The 19,040-nt window shown below is 46.0% G+C and overlaps 1 protein-coding gene and 1 long non-coding RNA gene across 5 annotated transcripts in view, besides 6 other annotated features; one reads left to right on the plus strand and one right to left on the minus strand.

Annotated features, from left to right (window-relative positions):
• CDYL (chromodomain Y like) overlaps positions 1-19,040 on the plus strand; it is a 249,407-nt gene that overhangs the window by 68,056 nt on the left and 162,311 nt on the right. For 3 of the 4 annotated variants that reach the window (NM_004824.4, NM_001368126.1, NM_001368127.1), the window contains exon 1: positions 2,211-2,614. The exons of the other annotated variant lie outside the window; for it this stretch is intronic. In NM_004824.4, the coding sequence (NP_004815.3) occupies positions 2,591-2,614 (24 nt within the window). In that variant the 5' untranslated portion in view covers positions 2,211-2,590. Of the gene's footprint in view, positions 1-2,210; positions 2,615-19,040 lie in introns of those variants that run through there. 4 annotated transcript variants of the gene reach the window in all.
• CDYL-AS1 (CDYL antisense RNA 1) lies at positions 333-1,233 on the minus strand. The gene is made up of 2 exons (NR_183279.1): positions 1,079-1,233; positions 333-564 (listed from the first exon to the last, which is right to left on the minus strand). It is a non-coding gene; the product is annotated as a CDYL antisense RNA 1 (long non-coding RNA).
• Positions 902-1,555: an enhancer, noted in NCBI's record as "H3K27ac hESC enhancer chr6:4775329-4775982 (GRCh37/hg19 assembly coordinates)". NCBI's record gives its function as "activates a minimal SCP1, AML or CMV promoter by ChIP-STARR-seq in primed H9 embryonic stem cells {active_cell/tissue: H9 hESC(primed)}" and the evidence as "EXISTENCE:reporter gene assay evidence [ECO:0000049][PMID:30033119]".
• Positions 902-1,992: a biological region, named in NCBI's record as "H3K27ac hESC enhancer GRCh37_chr6:4775329-4775982".
• Positions 1,363-1,992: a silencer, noted in NCBI's record as "silent region_16861". NCBI's record gives its function as "represses an Ori minimal core promoter by ATAC-STARR-seq in GM12878 lymphoblastoid cells {active_cell/tissue: GM12878}" and the evidence as "EXISTENCE:reporter gene assay evidence [ECO:0000049][PMID:35858748]".
• Positions 2,013-2,562: a silencer, noted in NCBI's record as "silent region_16862". NCBI's record gives its function as "represses an Ori minimal core promoter by ATAC-STARR-seq in GM12878 lymphoblastoid cells {active_cell/tissue: GM12878}" and the evidence as "EXISTENCE:reporter gene assay evidence [ECO:0000049][PMID:35858748]".
• Positions 12,752-13,280: an enhancer, noted in NCBI's record as "NANOG hESC enhancer chr6:4787179-4787707 (GRCh37/hg19 assembly coordinates)". NCBI's record gives its function as "activates a minimal SCP1, AML or CMV promoter by ChIP-STARR-seq in naive H9 embryonic stem cells {active_cell/tissue: H9 hESC(naive)}" and the evidence as "EXISTENCE:reporter gene assay evidence [ECO:0000049][PMID:30033119]".
• Positions 14,531-15,075: an enhancer, noted in NCBI's record as "H3K4me1 hESC enhancer chr6:4788958-4789502 (GRCh37/hg19 assembly coordinates)". NCBI's record gives its function as "activates a minimal SCP1, AML or CMV promoter by ChIP-STARR-seq in naive H9 embryonic stem cells {active_cell/tissue: H9 hESC(naive)}" and the evidence as "EXISTENCE:reporter gene assay evidence [ECO:0000049][PMID:30033119]".

Genomic DNA, 19,040 nt, shown 5'->3' on the forward strand with positions numbered 1-19,040 from the left:
TAGGCTTATATGTTATATGTATCTATTTCCTATTGAGGATCTCTTTTTTACAGTTGATTTTTCTTGAGGGATTTTAAACTATCACCTGCCAGTATTTGAGCGCTTGCCGAAGTGTGCACTCAATGCTTTGAGATTTCCCAAATGTATAAAATCCTAGTCCTTGCCTTCAAGGAACTTACAACTTTTGTTGATAAATTGGTAAACCTAGAGAGAAGGCAACAATGAAATGCAGCATATAATGGAAATGCTAAGTGAGAGGAAAGAGGCGCTGTTTGGAGGAGGGAGAGGGAATTGGCTGGGCCATCAGGGAAAGAGGCAGAGCTTGAGGCGCCTTGACCAGTTGATGAAGTGGTGGCTTTAATTTGCGATTCTTGTGCAAACATTTGATAATGGGAATTGGATGTGTAGGTATTGGGCTTTCTCGTGGACACTGAAATTCCATTCATTGAACAACACCTTATTTCCTGTATAGAGAATGGTGCTAGGGGCCAGCGTCAAATTTGAAGATGAAGTCTGACTGAAGGTCATCGTTTGGAGTTGGGGTGGGGTGAAGAGTAGACAAACCTTAAAATACAGAGACGAGTGCTGCAGTGAGCACGCGTGAGTGCTTAGGCAGCGCTTGAAGAGGGAGTTACCGATTTGGCCCTGGAAGTCAGGAAGGCTATCCTTTTAAGGTGATCCCTGAGCTGGGAGTTTGTTTCAAACGGTGGGGACCGCAGGTAGAAGCACCGCTTAAGGGGAACGGCGATTCGACTCGCAGTGACTTAAGGGTTGGCGTGGTGCTTGTTCCTGGGCGTGGGGAGGACAGGAAACCGCGGGGTCTGTGAGACGCCCCGTGGTTGTTGAAACGCTGTTGGGGGGCACAAACGAATAGGGCTTTAGGAAGAAAACTGGTGGGAGGAGCCTTGTGGCTCCAAGGTAGGTTAGGAACTGGAGCGAGATGGAGCACGGAGGAGTGAGGCGGCCCGAAGGATGCCCGGGGAGACATGGAGGAACTGGCGAGGGCTTCCCGATGCAGGGCCTGGGGGAGAGGGTGAACTAATGCCTCTGCAGTGCCCCGTGGGGAAGTTCCGCATACTCGGCCAGAGTGATCGGAGTTGGCGGCTGTCTGGGGGAGTTGGGTCAGGAAGCCCCTTCTTTCGCCACCGATGGGGCACGTCCAGGGCCCGGCAGGTGTGCCCTGGCAGTAGATCTTCCCTGGGAAGTGGAGCGCGGGCCAGCCCTCGCTGTTCTGAGCGAGGGCCTGTCGTGTAGTCCACACCGTTCCGCGAAAGGAACCACCATTGACAGCCTCGTTCGATTAGAACCCGGACCTCCCTGGAATCCAGACTCGGTCCCTTCCCAGCTGCGCTTCGGAGGAGGCGGACGCTCCGAGAGGAACCCAGAGGCCTGGCGTGGGGGGAGCTGCGGGCAGAGCGGAGGCAGCCGCGCCCTCGCGCCGCCCTCCGCCGCGCCCGGCTCCCGCCCCCCGGATCCCACCCCCGGCCTGCCGCGGAGCCAGCGTGCCAGCCGGAGCTCGCCGGGCCACCCCGCGGGGCGCGCGGCCCGGGCTCCGGGTCTTGGCGGCGGCCGGTGGGGCGGGCATGGGGTGGGGTGGGTGCTCCACCTGGCCACGCCGCCGGCCCTTCGCGGGCTGGCCCGGCCCCGGACGGGCGGGCGCACGGAGGCCGCCTCTTGGGCTCCTCCTGGAGGGAGGCGCGCGGTAGACGGCGCGGCCGCTGCCGTCGGGGCGGTGGGCTCCAGACGCGGGCCGGCTCGCTCGCATGGTTCCCTGCCCCATCTCGGGTCCGTCGCTGCCCGTCCTGGTGTGCACAACCGCGCTGCGCCTCGAACCTCGAGGTCCAGGTCCCGCCTGCCCTGGGCCGGGCCGCAAGCGCCCACGTCGAGGCGGGCTGGGGGGCGGTGCCGCGGGCCAGGCCGACCCCGCAAGCGGGACTGGGGAAGTCGGAGCCCCGCCCACCACCCCGCCCCCCGCGCTCGCGGCCCCGCCCCCGACTGCCCCGCTCCTCCCCTTCCTGCCGGCTCGCTCCCGGCCCCGCCGGCCGCCCGCCTCGGCCCCGAGCGGAGCCCACTGCTCCCCTCGGCTGCCCCGCCCCGCCGCCGCCCCGCCCCTCCCGCGCGGGCGGCCCGAAAACCCGGAGCGCGGGAGCGCGGCTCCGCAGGGCCGGGCGGCCGCACTGGGCATGCTCAGTAGCCGGGGCAGGTTTTTTGGTCGCAAGTAGGAAGCTTTCTGCACTACACCGGAGAGGGGAGCCGCGATCCGGCCGCGCCGCCCGCACGCCGCCGCGCCCGCCCCAGCCCGCCCGGCCCCGCGGCGGGGCGCGATGAGCCCGAGCGCGAGCCGGCCCGCCGGGGAGTGAGCGCGGGGCGCCCAGGGCGCGTTGCGTAGCTGCTCCTGCGCACAACCCCGCCGCGCCGCCGGCCCGCACTGGCCGCGGAGTGCAAGAGGCTCGTCCGTGCCCAGCGCCCGGCCGGCCGCGGGAGCAGGAAGCGCAGGCCACGCAGGACCCAACTGAAACAAAGTGTCGGCCGCCCGGCGCCGGCGCCCGCCCCGACCCTGCCCCTCCCGCCCGCAACTCCGCCGCCCACCATGGCTTCCGAGGAGCTGTACGAGGTACCTCCCCTCCCCCCGGCCTCGGGCCGCCCCCCGCCCGCCGCCCCTCCCGGCCCGGCCGCGCCGCCCGACGGCCCCGCTCGCCGCCCGCGCCCGCCGCGTCCCCTCCCCCGCCGCGGCCGCAGTTTGCTGGACGGGAAATGTGTGTGAGGGGAGCCCGAGCCTCCGTTCCGAGGGGCCCCGGCCGGGGGGTCCTGAAGTTGCCGGGCGTGGGGTGGGGGGGGGGGTCCCAGCCGTGGGGAAGTGGTGCTGACACAAGTGACTTGCTCGGACTGAGCTCAAAGTGCTCTTGGCGTGGGTCGTGGAAGTGGTGCCTCCGTTGCCGCTCGGCGGGGACCGTGGGCGGTACGGGGGGTGGGGTGTGGGGGGGTTTCTGGATCATTTGATAAAGCATTTGGGAGAGGGTTTTGCCCCTGGTCGGGGGGTGGCGGGGAGAAGACCGGTGCAAACGCTTTCGACTTTGCTGTTCGCCAAAGCGATGCAAAATCTCGCACCGAAAATGCTAAACGTTGACCACATGCTTTAATTAGGTTAGCATTGTGGCCAGAGCCAGGAAATTTAAATTTAACGCTGATACACCGTCATTCATTTGCGCCGCAGCGTTGCAAATGAGAAGGGCATAGCCAGAACTGTAAGTTCTGGTCGATGGGTTTAAACCAGCTTCAAGTTTGAGAGTTACCAATTTGGATCTTTAGACATGTTTTGTATGTCTCCATGTAACTTCTTTTGACGTATTTCAAAGTAGACTTCCTGGGAGTACAGAAGTTTGGAAGGCTTTCTGTTCTTCTGGATAAATGATTCTCTTGTTTCACATGTATTTATAAATAAGTTCCTAAGAGACTTAAAACTTGCGAAGACTCTCTAGACTCACCTTTATGATGCGTTTAGGGACCTGGGTGTTGAGGGACTTAAGGAAGCATCTGTAACAAGTAGAGCCCTGTGGCCCCAGGGATCCTTTCAGTTGTCTTCTCTTATGGGCGTATTATTGCTGTTGGCATAGAATAGAGCTTTGTTGTCTGCGATGTTAGTCTTCTAGCAACTTTTTTGTTGCTTTTTAAGAGCAAGTGTTTGCAGAAGTTCTCAGGAGGAAGCTGCCATCTGTAGAATTAAGGGTAAGGTTGTTGCTTCTCCTTACATTGTATGTGGTCAGTATACCTTAGCTGGTACTGAAAATGTTCCATTCTTTTCAACCATTTTACACATTAGCTGTGCCCCGCTGTATTCAGGATACTATTTTAGGTCATTTGGGGATGTAAAAGAAGAAAAATCTCCCTGTTCTCAGGAGCTTTCCTTCTAGGAAGGAAAGTGTTGTGTGTCTGGAAGACACAGAAATGGAGGCTAGGATGTTTGAGGTTGAGGTCTTCCAGGTGAAGTCTGTACAGGGGGAAGTACATAGCATGAGGGTATGGGGGATTTTAGTTTCTACATTAGATCATTCTTTGGTTGTTTAGTCATGAGTGTTCACTCTTGGCATTTGCTTTTATGAGTATGATTACATAATCAGTTCCATCAGTGGATGAGAGTAGCACCTTATACGTAAGTTGTATCCTATGTGTGTAAGAATGATTCTGAAGACAGCACATTTCCCATTAGTATATTATGAACTAAGTTTAGTTCCTTCTGTGCTTATTCTATATCTTCAGGTTTCTGTTCCTAACAGAAGTTATTAATGAGTAACATTTTGTACTAAGTTTGTGTTCATTTAACGTTTATTGAATGCTTGCCATATGGAGGTTTCATGGGGAAATACTGAGGTGTGAGAATGGTTCATGCTTTCAAGGAGTGTCTGTTGGGGAGGAAGTAAGTATATTGCAAATAAATGATACACCTGCACAATTGAACTTTTGATTCTGAGTTTTATTTTAGTTTTGGAAAAAAAGGTATTATAGAAGTATAGTTCAGGTGATAAATTTAAGTATGTGTAGTAAATATGTAGTGGTCAGTATCTTTCAAGGCAAAATTTGTAACTTTTCTTTTACTTGTAGGCAACACTGTGACTATGTTACCATTGAAAGTTGACATTGAAAGTTTTGCATGGCAGTTGAGAGCCTAGATTTGGAGTCAGACAACCCAGTTAGTGACTTCCAACTCTATCACCTTGGGTAAATTAGCCTTGAAAGCTCAGTTTCCTCATCTGTGAAATTGGGATCAGTGTTTCCCTTATAGAGCTATGAAGTTTACATGAGAACATATGTAAAGCCCACCCTAAAATTCCCATGGCAAGCACCCAGTAAGTGATGATGATTGTATGGTAACTGGCTTAAAATGCCTCCCTGAAACCTGGTTTTGTTTCTAAAGGTATAGAGTTGTATTGTTTTCATAAAGGCAGTATTATCTGTAGGGCAGAAGTGATACGCAATTGTAAATGAACGCGATAGTCTGACAAGGCTGGGAAAGACACTAAGATGATGTTTTGTGGCCAAGTCAAGGGTTGTTAGTTGCCTTGTTTTGTCCAGTTCTGCCTAAACTGAAATAGAAGTTTTCTGTTTGGCCTCAGGCTCCACAAATCTAGAGGGATATATTGACAGGAGGAAATGTGAAGTCTTGCTTCTTTGAACTCACATGGTCTGGTAGGAGGACAGGTCTGCAGTAACTGGGAACTTGGGTGAGTTACCCAACTGCTGAGCCTTGGTTTTCTCGCCTAAAAGAAATGTCTCCAATACTTAGCATGGAACCTGGTATGTAGTAATAGGTCTTTAGTAAATGTTTAAATGGCTATTGAAACTAGGCTTTGTGAACAAAAAATAAAGGAACAGATCCTGGAAAAGATGGGTAGAGCATGAACCTTGCAAAATTTGAAGAGTTACTATTAGTTGAAGGATGGAATAGATTTACTCCCTACTTTTCCAGCTGCTAGGATTGAGGAAAAACGGATTTTTGATGCGGCGTAGGTTAGAACTTCATAGTTTTCACAAAAAGACAAGCGTCCTTTACATCACGCTTCTAATGTAAAGGGCCAGATAATACATATTTTAGACTTGTGGGTTATATTATGGTCTTTGTTGCAACCACTCAGCTCACCTCATGTAGTGCAAAAGCAGTCGTAGACTCCTATATGAATGTGCGCTGTGTCTCAAACTGCTTATGGATAGTAAAATTCACTTAGTATATTTCATATCATTTTATGTGTCATGAAATACACATTTGTGTTTTTTTTCCAATCACTTACAAATGTAAAAATGATTCCTAACTTGTAGGTTCCACAAAAATAGGCAGTGGGCTGGCTTTGCCCTGTAGGTTGTTGTTTGTTAAGCCCTGCTGTAGGTGATCAACTGTCATAGTCTGTTTAGGAATCTGGGTTTACTCAAGGGTTGGGGATGTATGGAAGTTAGACGGTATTTCTAACTTTCATCCCAGCTCTAGACTTAGAGCTGGAAGATCTGGGTGGTAATCCTCCCTCCTTTCCTCCTTCCTTTCCTTTCTTTCTTTCTCTTTTTTTTTTTCAAGAGTCTTGCTCTATCTCCCAGGCTGATGTGCAGTGGCTTCATGTTGTCAGCTCACTACAACCTCTGCCTCCCGGGTTCAAAGCTATTCTCATGCCTCAGCCTCCTGAGTGGCTGGGATTACAGACGTGCACCACCCCCGCCTACGCCCCCCCCCCCCCGCCCCCGCCCCCGCCCCGGCTAATGTTTTGTATTTTTAGTAGAGACAGGGTTTCACCTTGTGGGCCAGGCTGGTCTCAAACTCCTGGTCTCAAGTGATCCGCCCACCTTGGCCTCCCAAAGTGCTGGGATTACAGGCATGAGTCACTGCACCCGGCCTTCCCTTGTTCTTAGAAGCTTGTTAAGTAACTCATCTTGTACTTGTCTTAACTATCCTAAACTTTCTCATCAGTAAAATAGGAGGATGATAACCAAATAATTGAGGCTTAAATGGCATTAGCGTGTAAAAGCAATTCTACAAAACGTTTTCCATTTTTAAAGAGGAAAAAAAACCCATCCAACTCTCAAACCATGAAACCAAACCTGTTTTCCCTTCCTCAAGATTTAGGATTTGAAAGTATTCTATAAACTGATTATATCACCAGAGAAAGCTGTGAGGTCAAGAGGACCTTAATTTATTTAGCAGTCAAGTAACCACCATGAGACTTTGTTCACGTGGGACTGAATAAGGAACGTATGCTGTAGTAAAATGGAATAAGTATTCTCTTTATTTGTATGTCTTAATAATTCCTTTTTTCCTCAGTAGATGTGGAGTTATTCCCTTGAGAACTCCTGTAATAGTTAATTCAAATTTCAGTAAGCTCTCAATGATTAGTCTTGACCTTCTGAGAGAATATTTATGTTTTCATTTTCAAAAATGGAAGTAAGCTTTTAAGAATGAAATCGTATCTGGTGTGTAAAAAATTGTTTTAAAGTTGATTAGTTTGACAGGATGATCAGGATTTGCAGGGGAAGGTAGGTCTTTTGAATCTTTCTTCCTACTTTGCGATAAGATTCCTGCTCTCTCCTGTGCACCACAAGGCTTTTACTTACATTGACCAAAAGCAGTTGTGAATAAAGTCTCAATCTGTAGTTCAAATGGAAGTCACAGAGACCAGGACACCTTTCATGGATGTTGGCCAAGCTAGGTCAGCGTATGTTGTATATGGTGTAGCTGTCTGAAAAGATTGGAATCACCAAAATTAGTAAAGAAAAAGAGTTCATTTGACTTCAGGAGTTGATAGTGAGGCAGTGAGGTCAAACATGCATGTGTGTTTTGACAATAATAGCCTATCTTAAATGCTCTTTTTCCTGTGAGTTGCTGAGAATATTATTTATTCATTTGCCCCAGCAGCAGTGTGGAGACCTCTCATGTGCTCTTCCTTTGAACTACTTTCAATTCCTGTGTACCAGAATAGCGTTTTTTTCATTCTTGCTGTGATATCTAAGAATCATAGACTGTTCCCTCGTGCTCTATAATGATTTTAACCACGGAGAATATTTTCATGGTATGTAGGCAACACTTTCTTCGCATTGTTCTGGTTCACAGTTTTGGATAACTGTGATTCACAAAGCCAGGCCTCAAATGAATTCTTTTGTAAATAAGGAGTGATAGTTTTTATATTGTGAGCACTCCTAGGTGGAACAGGACCAGCCTGGGGTCTTTTTTCAATTCAGATTCTTGAACCCAAACCACGAGATTATAATTTTCAATGTTTGGATGGAGACAGGAATCTTATGTTCCGAGAAGCTTCTTTTTGGAATGCAGGTGGATTTAGGAGCCTCTGGATACGCCCTTCTGTGTTTCAGACCCTTAGGCTCTGCGTGGAGGTGGGTGGGGGTGGGTTGGGGATCTGCCTGGCGGAAGAGGAGCTCTCGGTGGACCAGACTGGTTCTTTCTGCAGGCTCCTTGACCACTGCTGGTTGTTAACTGAGTAATTCCAGGAAGGGAATATTAAAAACATCAGGTAGTTAGCTAAGGGCGTTGTAATTTCTGTTTTCTGTCTTTATTGCCTGGCATGTTTGTCCACCAGAATGTAAGTGCTTTAAAGCTCAGATTCATTTTCTGGTCATTATTTTCCACAGCTCAAAATACTGCAATCGTTGCATAATTGTTGAGTTACTTTAATGGAAGAGTGAATTACAGGAATGAATCTCCATTCCTGACTCCTTACTTACCTCGAGGTTCCTCCTCCCCTAAGCATTATGCCTCTTGCTGTTCTTTTTACTCTTAGTTCCTCATCTGCTTACATGGTTTCAACTCTAGAATGGAGAATTTCACTGTTTCCCACACAAACTTAATTCTCTTCAGCCTTTTAAGCTGGGCAAGGTTTTGGGGTTCACGTTCTCTAGGAAGTCTGGGGAGGGCCTATTATGAGTCTAGATATGACTTTAAATCCAATTATAACCTCAAATAGAATTTTATGAAAATTTAAACAAGTACATATGAGCATATTTCAGAGGGAGAGAATCAAGAGCTTTCATCTGATTCTCAGAGGGATATAGGACCCAAAGCAAGTATTAAAAACTGCATCGAGACCTTTGAACTAAGACTTATCTGTGGCTGCCCTCCACGGACCACTTTGACATTATTTTTGTTGAACTGTCCTCTGCCACAAATTACAGTAAAACCATATTAAAACCTCACTGATTGGGTTTAGAAGTTGTATGCTATTTCTAGTCTTTAAGTGGCTAATTTTGCAGCTATGCATACATGATGTCTAAAGATAGTCAGTATTTAATGGCACTTCTGACAATGTAAAGATTTTACATTCCTTGAACCCTGGTGCATTCCTGAACTCACATGCTACTGCTTTCTTATTGCCCATGAAAAAATCCCTCATCAAATAGAACATTATTATTTTATACAACCTTTCTTTAGATTCACCTCTGACTTCATAGTTTCTTCAATCAGATCGTCCATCTTCTATCTCAGAACTTCCTTCTGGGATTTTTTTTTTTCTTAAGTGTATCCTTTAGAGATTTCTTTAGTGAGGGACTATGGATGGAAAAGTTTCTAGGTTTTTTTTTTTTAATTATTATTATCTGGACATGTCTTTATTTTGCCATCATTTTTTGAAAGAGAATAGTATTTCAAATAAAACCAGTTAATTGGTTAATTTCTTTCAGCTCCTTCTGAAGATGGTGCTCCATTGTCTTCTGCCTTGCCTTTGCACTATTCTTGAGACTTTTTTTTTTTTTTTTGAGGTGGCGTTTCACTCTTGTCGCCCAGGCTGGAGTGCAGTGGCATGATCTTGGCTTACTGTAGCCTCTGCCTCACTGGTTCAAGTGATTCTCCTGCCTCAGCCTTTCAAGTAGCTGGGATTATGGGCATGCACCACCATGCCTGGCTATTTTTTGTATTTTTAGTAGAGATGGGGTTTCACCATGTTGGTCAGGCTAGTCTCGAACTCCTGACATCAAGTGATCCACCCGCCTCAGCCTCCCAGAGTGCTTGGATTACAGGTGTGAGCCACACTGCACCTGGCCAAGACTGTTGTCAGCATAGGTGCAGTCACTTTATAGGAGATCTGTCTTCTGTCTCTGGTTGTTCTTGAGATCATCTCTTTGACTTTGGTTTCCTCTTGTTTAATACGACAATGTATTTTGTGTGATTTTTTATTAGTTAGGTGGGTATATGTTGTGCTGCTTTTTGGATTTGTGCCTCATCAGCTCGAAAATGGATTTGGCCAGTTTGTCTTCAAATACTCCTTCTCTGTACTCGTCAGGAATTCCAAGTAGACATCTATCAGATCATTTCATTCTCTCTTCTTTGTCTTTTACCTTTTCATTTCCATCTCCTTGTTTGTGTTTTGTTTTCTTTTTATGTGCTGCATTTTAGCTATTTCCTTGGATCTAAACTATAGTTCACTAATGAGCTGTGTTTAATCTGCTGTTTTATTCAACCATTGAGTTTTAATTTTCAATAATTACATTTTTTACTTCGAAATATTCTGGGGAGTTTTTACCTAATCTGCAATTCGTTTTTTAAGTCTTTGGTGTTTGTCCATTTTATGATTTAGTCATTATTTTGGGTTGGGGGCAGTTACTGAGGCAGCTGGGATATTTTCCTTGTTTCCTACAATTGCTATATGGTATCACTGTTAATGAGAGTTATATTTTATTAAAGATCTAGTTAATTTGTAATGAGAGGGCCCTTTGGAGTCATGTTTGCTTTATTGCCAGAATCTGAAGAAACCTTCTTGATTTGGAATTTGTGACATGAGCAGGGATTGAGGCTTTGAACCAACACTTGAGATTTACCTGATGATATTGAAAATGCAAAACAGTAGTTTTCAAGAGGACTGTTTATGAAAATGGATTATAATAGTTATAACGCAATTGCTTCTGAAGCAAAATGTTCAATGTCTTTGTTCGGCATGCCTTGATATATAGTCTTGTACCACATAATGATACTTTGGTCTTACGATGGTGGTCCCGTAAGATTATAATACCACATTTTTACTGTACCTTTTCTATGTTTAGATACACAAGTTGATATGGTTTGGCTGTGTCCTCACCCAGATCTCATTTGGAATTGTAGCTCCCATAATTCCCACGTACCATGGGAGGGACCCTGTGGGAGGTAGTTGAATCGTGGGGTGGATCTTTCCCTTGCTGTTCTCCTGATAGTGAGTCTCATGAGATCTCATGGTTTGATAAAAAGGAGTTCCCCTGCACAAGCTCTCTTGCCTGCCACCATGTAACGTGTGACCTTGCTCCTCATTCACCTTCCTCCATGATTGTGAGGCCCCCCCAGCCATGTGGAACTGAGTTAATTAAACTCGTTTCCTTTATAAATTACCCGGTCTCGGGTATGTCTTTATTAGCAATGTGAGAATGGACTAATACACAAGTCCTCACTATTGTGTTAAAATTGCCTACAGTGTTCAGTACAGTAACATCTGTACAGGTCTGTAGCCTGGAAGCAATAGGCTCTACCATACAGCCTAGGTGTGTAGTAGGCTACAACATTGATGTTTGTGTAAGTTCACTCTGTGAGGTTCGCACAGCAGTGAAATTGCCTAACAACGCATTTCTGAGAACATATCACTGTAGTTAAGCAACGTGTGACCGTATAGTATACTTTCTTTTTTGTGGAGAGGTTAGCTTCAATATATCTAGAGAATGTCTTTTATTTACTTTTTGTCTTATTTCCATTTGTAGTAGGCTCTCTGCTATGTGAAGTTTTCTTTGTTGGTAGCTTCCTAGTGTTTGTTGTTAAAACCCAACAATGTTGACTGCACATCATGAATGTTCTTTGGTTAAAATGTATCCGTTTTTCACTTGTACCCATTTTTCATTAGTAGTTTACTGTTTAGGAATTCAAGGCATCACATAGTTGCACACAGAAGCTTTTCTTATTTTATTAATAGCATGTAACTAATGTGGATATCCCAGCTCTTTAGTGTATCTCAGAACCAGGACAAAAAAAGTCATCTTAGTTTGCAAAAAGATGCACCACCCCATGCACACTGGACAACAGCTCTGGGTCTCTCTTGGAGACTGTTGACATTTCCTTTAGGCATTATGTACTTGGACTTGACTGGCACCTTTAGCATGTTAGAAACAGGTTATTTGGTAAAGGAAAAGGCTCTGCCAGAGGCAGGTGAATTGACGTTAATAAGTTTGTTCATGAAGTTCGCTGAAGAGGGTAGCTGGTGATGGCACTCCAAGTCTTGAGGTGACAGGCTCCGTGGGGCCAGTCCTGCGCCCCTTAGAGCAAGTGAAGGGCATGCTTATGAAAGAAAAGGCATATGTTGCAAAGAGCTATCAAGAAGAGTTTTTAAAAAGTGTTGCTATGTAAGTGTAAGCGAAAAAATTAAGTCTACTTTTATGGTAAACTTAAACATAAATTTTATGGTCATTTCCACCCAAGTTCTCCAGACGGCAGAGGAGTCAGCAGGAATTCTCCTAAGGAGGTGGAGGTGGGAGGGAGGAGGAAATGGCCTTTGCAAGCCTGACCTGTTGTTTGAAATCTCAAGTTACCTTACATGTTTTATGATATTAACCATGTAGTCCATACAATTTTTGGGATTCAATATGAAATATTTTAAACATATTTACCAAGGAGCTCTTCTCCAGAGATCCTTGATTTAGGCTGATGTTTCAGGAAGCTGAGCTGTGGATTAGTGGCCCTGTGTGCCCTTGGTCTCTTGCTGTGTGTGTGTACTCTGGCTTCAGAAGCAGAGACGGACTGTGTTACCTTCCATAATGATGCCGGGTAAAGGAGGCATTAGCTGATCTGGTGAAATGTAAATAAGATTTGAATTAAGTAGTTCAAAAAAAATTTAAAAAGTTTGTTTTAGTAATTGTTTTTAACCAATAAAGATTAAAAATACTTGTTTTCTGTCTGCAGTCATCTTACTGCTAGGGGTTCAAGAGAAGGTGCACTAGTAGTTTTTATCTCGAGTCTCGCTGTTTATTCTCTGTACTTTAAAAAAGTGACTGTGCTGTTGCCTTGAGCTGGTTGTGGGAGCATTTGTAGGGTCCCTGTTGGAATGAGGACCAATCTGCTTCATAACTCCTCTCTGTCTATGGGCTAGACCAAAGTACCCTTGGAGAACTCCATGTCTTCCAGGAAGTTTCCACCCTTTTTCTCCTCCCTCTTTCCTGAGTGTTATTGTCTGCATGTCCAGCTGTGTCCCTCTAACCTGATTTTCAGCCATCTGCCAGGTCCCTCGAGTTGAGGCTTCACTCCTCCTGTCCTGATTCTTGACCCTGGCTTCTGCACTTGCTGGTGGCCCTGCAGAGCTCTGGCCTGGGAAGTAGAAGAATGGCTGCCCACTTGTGTTTGTGTTACCTGGCTTTTCATCTGCACAGTCCAGAGGGAAGTTCTCAACTGTCTTACACCCCAGGCACGTGAGGTAGAGTGTAGCCAACTCTCCCAGCAGGACAGACTTCTGGGATTCTTAGTCCTCTAACTTCTCTCTCATATGCAGATGAGCTTTTGAACTTAAAGCAAGAGGCGAGTGATTATTTTATTAGCACCTTTAGGGATGCAAAGAAGTAGGAGTGTGTGTTTGAGGGAGGTGCTAACTAGACTGATTCGTTGTGCCCTTCCTTCAGAGTGCACCTAGACGAGTCAGAGTCAGAGTTTCCCCAGAATCATTTGGCACGCCATCCTGCGACACCACTGGTTTCTGCTCGTAAATGAGCTTTTTGAAAAAATCTTGATTCGGTTGATAGATACATATCTAAATGTGCATTCCTCAGTCCTTCCTAAGTAGCTCTAGATTGGGGCTGCTTAAAAATGAAGAGGCTGCAGTGACTGTATAGAGTATGTTGAAAAGATCATGGAAATGAGGTCCTGTGGAAGTGCGTGCTCATACCTTGGCAGAAGTTCAGTGCTGAGACCAGACACATTCAGCTTGCCCAGGAACCTAACGAAAGTCAACAGAAAAGAAATCGTGGGTCTGAGCTGGGCAGCTTCATGGCAACGCTGCCCCCTCACCTTTGACAGAAAGGCAGCTGGGAGAGAAGGAGACCAAAGACATGCAGGTGGAGGTGCGGACAGGCTGCTCTGAAATTCAAGTCTTTTTTTTTTTTTTTTTTTTTTTGGGAGACAGAGTCTCGCTCTGTTGCCCAGGCTGGAGGGCAATGGCACGATCTCGGCTCACTGCAACCTCTGCCTCCCAGTTCAAGTAATTCTCCTGCCTCTGCCTCTCCAGTGGCTGGGACTACAGGTGTGCGCCACCACGCCTGGCTAATTTTTGTATTTTTAGTAGAGACAAGGATTCACCATTTTGGCCAGGCTGGTCTCGAACTCCTGACCTCAACTGATCTGCCCACCTTGGCCTTGCAAAGTGCTGGGATTATAGGTGTGAGCCACCGCACCTGGTCGAAATTCGAGTCTTATAGTCATAATTCCACTGAAAGGAAAGGTCAGGGTCCTTCTTTTGGGTCTCCAGTGGCTCACTTCTGTAGCAGGAAAGGGACATGACTTGGGGTTTGGTGAACTGTTTAAAAAGGCTTTTCAGGCTGGGTGTAGTGGCTGGCGCCTGTAATCCCAGAACTTCGGGAGGCCAAGGCAGGAGGATCACTTGAGGCCAGGAGTTCAAGACCAGCCTGGCCAATATGGTAAAACCGCGTTTCTGCTAAACAAAAATTTAGCCAAGTGTGGTGGTGCCTGTAGTCACAAGTACTCGGGAGGCTGAGGCAGGAGAATCACTTGAACCCAGGAGGTGGAGTTAGCAGTGAGCCGAGATCACCTCACTGCACTCCAGCCTGGGTGACAGAGTGAGACTCTGTCAAAAAAAAAAAAAAAAAAAAAAGGCTTTTCAGTAGTGGAGCAGGTCTCTGTGAAGAAAAGTGCTTCCCTTAGAGTTTGAAAAGGAACCCTTGGGGCAAATAAGGACGTCCCTAGGCCCTGAAGGTGGGTCAGGAACTCTCAAAGATTGAAACACCACCCCTCCCCCACCATATTCCTGAGCCCTCACTCTCCTGGGTCACTGGGGTGGGAACTGTAAGGATGGAAATTCCAATCCTTTCTGTGCTTCCCCACCACCATTCGGCAGCAGAAGTGTGTAATTCATATCTAGTGTGACCCGTGTTTCTCCGGAATTTGTGGTCTGCCTGTCGAACAGCCAGCCCCCTTCCCACCCCACCTGTTAGGATCCCCGCAGGCTTTGCTCTGCTGTTCTGGGATGAAGGATGTTGCTGCTTCCTCCATTGTGCCAGGTGGACCAGCCTCTGGCCCTGTCCCTCAAGGTGAAGCTATGTGAGTTAGAGCCCTCCCTGTCTTGTAGCTACATGGCGGGCCAGGTGCTGCTCCTCCTGGCTTTACATTCTGTCCCGGGAATAGCCAAGCCATACTGCTTCATGCAGAAGCTCCTGGTTTTCGTGTTTTTTGTTTGTTTGTTTTTGAGACAGGGTCTTGCTCTGTTGCCCAGGCTGGAGTGCAGGGGCATGATCTCTGCTCACTGCAGCCTCTGTCTCCTGGGCTCAGGTGATCTGCCTACTTCAGCCTGCCGAGTAGCTGGAACCATGGGTGTGCACCACCGTGCCTGGCTAATTTTTGTATTTTTAGTAGATACGGGGTTTCGCCATGTTGGCCAGGCTGGTCTCGAGCTCCTGGGCTCAAGCAATCTGCTCCTTAGCCTCCCAAGGTGCTGAGATTGCAGACGTGACCTGCCGCGCCTGGCTGCTCCTGGGTTTCAGTTGCGCTTCTCTCCCCTAGTGGTGTCTCTGGGCACGGTGGGCCCTCCGCACCACATCTGTCTTGCTGGGCCGGTTTTATTTCTGTTTCCCTGGCCCTGGCAGCCTCCCCGCCCTAGGCATCTCCCCCACTCCCAGTGGGCAGGAACTCCAGTGATTCAAACTTAAATGGCTGCTACCCAGTACAGTCCTTGAGGAGCTCTGCAGTGCTCTGTGAGCTTTTGAGGGGCCATGTGCATCAGAAAGCACCTGCCACTAAAAATTGTTGTAGAATCAGTTATCTGAACTCTGGGTTCAGCGTTGTTCCCAAATGACTTTGCTCTGTTTCCCTAGCTCTCCTGCCTTTGGCCCTATCTGGCTCTTTCCCACCTACTCTGGGTGTTACTCTTCTCACCTGCCCCTGGGTAGGGCCCCCGCAGCACTCCATGGAGTAATGGGGAGTTGAACCATTCAGAGAAGTGTAGTTTCCTGTTCTTAATGAAAGACATCAGGTGAACAATAAAATCCTCCTGTTCCTCTAAAACAAATCGCCTTTCAGACGACAGAAAGCTGCCCTTTATGCCTTTGTGCTCCCCCTTCCCTGTGGGTTATTTGTCCTTGCTGGAGAATGGGTTTTCTCTCCTGCTGTACATCATTGAGGACATCATCCTGTCAGGGTTTTGCTAGGCTGGTGTTGTGTGGATATTGATAATGATAAAAAGCAACAAGCATATAGGAAGATTTGCTGTTCTCCTCAGTTATCTCTTTTGGATATATGCTGTATTAGCAAGAAGCTATTTACTCTTTCAGTAAGTGTTTGTTAAGGGTGGTGGTATTTGAAAGCCTTGAGTTTATAAAGTACTAATGAAACCTTTTAAATACGAAGACAGCTTTTTACTTAACAAATGTATAGTGAGCAGTTAACAATGGGACTTAATACTATGTGTAAGTGACCTTTTGCATGCTGTATAAAAGCTTGTCAGAGTTCAGGAGGTGTTACTGCTGTGGTTTTGGGTTTGCTTGAGAACATTAGATGTTATTTTTCTCCAAGACACATACTAGTGACCTTAACAACAACAAACTCATTTTTCTTGGTATGAGGACTAGAGTTAGGAGAATTTCTGAAGCGCTTTTGGAAAGTAGGCGGACATTTGAGTTCCTCATCTGCCTTTTCCCCTGGTCATCATACATGGGATCATTAAGCAGAACACAGAGCAGACTTGACTAAAGCAATGACATTTTGTAATGTAGCTTATGGAAGTAGAATAGGAAGGCTCAGCTAATTACCTGTAATTTCAAAGGCAGCCAGTAGGTTTCCTGTGTACAGCACCTTGGAAATCTTTTGTATGGACCCAAAAATGAGTGACTAATTACAGAATAGAAAATGAATAAGCTTTGTACGAGGTTAAGCAAATTTGCAGGAAGAATGTATTTAATGCATCATCATGGAAAGCAATTTTTGACTGTCATCAACGATTTCAAGTTAAGCAAGTATCTGTAATGAAGCACAAAAGATTGATAAAAACAGAGAAAATATCAGAGATTGGATTTGTCCAAGTAGGCTAACTGAAAATTTGGTCCAACAAACATCAGCAAGTGCTCACTTTGGAAGAGAATTTGAGTTTTTAAAAAATTAGACCCCAAAGGTAGGTACAAACTGATGATTTAATATCTGTTATTAGTGTTTCTTAGAGAAACAGAACGAAGTGTAACGTCTTTGGAGAATACATTAAGGGAGGAAGCTTTCCAAAACCCAACATGAAGACTCATATACAGTGGCCAGCATTGACATTCCTAAGAATCAAGAAAGCATCATATGATCTTTGTCATCAATACCACTGTTCACTGTATAACCGATTCCATAGGCTCAGAGAGATGTGGAAATCAGGATGTTTTGAGAATCAGTGAGGTGGAGGGAACAGGGCTGGGCCCTAGTGATGAAATTTTTAACGAAGACCTTTCATTTTGTGTGTGAGAAACCACTTTTGATTTACAATGTATCATCAACCTCACTCTCTAGACTTCTAGTACTGAAGTACTTTAGTTCACGTCAAAATCTGTTTCTCAATTAGGGAGTGAAGATTTGGCACCATAGAGCATATTCAAAAAACTGTGTTGGAGGGCAGTCCTAAAAGAGAAAAAGTTCTGAGGATATTCTGTGTTGTCAACAGCTTCTTTGAACTGAGAGTTTGGCCTCTGACGTCTTGGCTTGAACTAGCTGACATCCACTTGGCAGACAGGCCCTCTGAATTTCTAGCATTTACATGGTCTCATTACCTTAGTGTGGGACGTATATAATTTAAGGGCCCTGTGCGTGTTTACTGAGCAAAGAAACATCAAAGAAAGAAAAAAAAAAAGTCCCATGCCCTACCACCCTGGTCTAACTACTACGAACCACAGAAGACCATTCTGGACAGAAGAGTAGATGTATACAGTTAACAGTTATTTCATAAACACAGAATCGTATGCATGGTATTTAGTAGAAGATAAATATAAGTTAATAGGAAGGAATTGTAGAATTTTTTTTTTTTTTTTTGAGACGGAGTCTTGCTCTGTTGCCCAGGCTGGAGTGCAGTGGCGCGATCTCAGCTCACTGCAAGCTCCACCTCCTGGGTTCACGCCATTCTCCTGCCTCAGCCTCCCGAGTAGCTGGGACTACAGGCGCCTACCACCACGCCCGGCTAATTTTTTTTTTTTTTTTGTATTTTTAGTACAGACGGGGTTTCACCATGTTAGCCAGGATGGTCTCGATCTCCTGACCTCGTGATCCACCCGCCTCGGCCTCCCAAGGTGCTGGGATTACAGATGTGAGCCACTGCATCTGGCCAGGAATTGTAGAATTTTATATGAAAACATTTTACATCATTGGATCACTTTTATTTTGCCTTTTCCTTGTTGATTTGTTGGAGATCTTGGTATATAATAGATTCTAATCTTTGCTACTATATACGTTGGAAATATCTTCTGATATATGGCTTTGTCCTTTTTAAAATCAATAATACATTTATGTTTCACTTGCCAAATTAAATCTGACATTTTAATGTAGTCAAATTTTTATTTAAAAAAAAATTTTTTTTTTTTTTTTGAGACAGAGTCTCACTCTGTTGCCCAGGCTGGAGTGCAGTGGCATGATCTCCGCTCACGGTAACCTCCACCTCCCTGTTAAAGTGATTCTTCTGCCTCAGCCTCCTGAGTAAAGTAGCTGGGACTACAGGCACACACTACCATGGCCGACTAATTTTTGTATTTTTAGTAGAGACAGGGTTTCACCATGTTGGCCAGGCTGGTCTGGAATTCCTATCCTCAAGTGATCTGCCCACCTTGGCCTCCCAAAGTGCTGGGATTACAGGCATGAGCCACCGCGCCTGGCTTCTCTCATTTCGTTTTTTGTTTAAGAAATCCTTCCTACCCCAAGATCATTGTCTGCTGTGTTTTCATCTAAATATTTTGCTTTCTACAGTATGAACTTTCACTTACCTATAGTTTGTTTTTACAGTGTAGCCTGAGCTTGGGGTTCAACTTATTTTTAAAATGTGGATAATCCATAGGCACTGTTTAGTAAATAGACCATCTCTCCCCATTATTTGCCACCTCTGTCATAGATGTTTCCATCCATGTGTAGGGCAGTTTCTTCTGTTCAATTGGTATTTGTCTTTCCTGATTCATACCATGCTGGCTTGACTAGCATGGCTTTATGTAAGTCTTGGAAACTCGTCCTTCCAGGTATCTTCATTGTGTTCTTTTTTTCTGGCAAATTTCTCTCCTCATGGTGGTGTGCTCTTCCATCTACACCCTGGAATCATCATGTTGATTACGTGAGAAACCCTGTTGAACTGGGGTTGGTACTGCATCGCGTTCATGGATTAATC

The sequence above is a fragment of the Homo sapiens genome, chromosome 6, assembly GCF_000001405.40.
Source record: "Homo sapiens chromosome 6, GRCh38.p14 Primary Assembly".
NCBI lineage: Eukaryota > Metazoa > Chordata > Mammalia > Primates > Hominidae > Homo > Homo sapiens.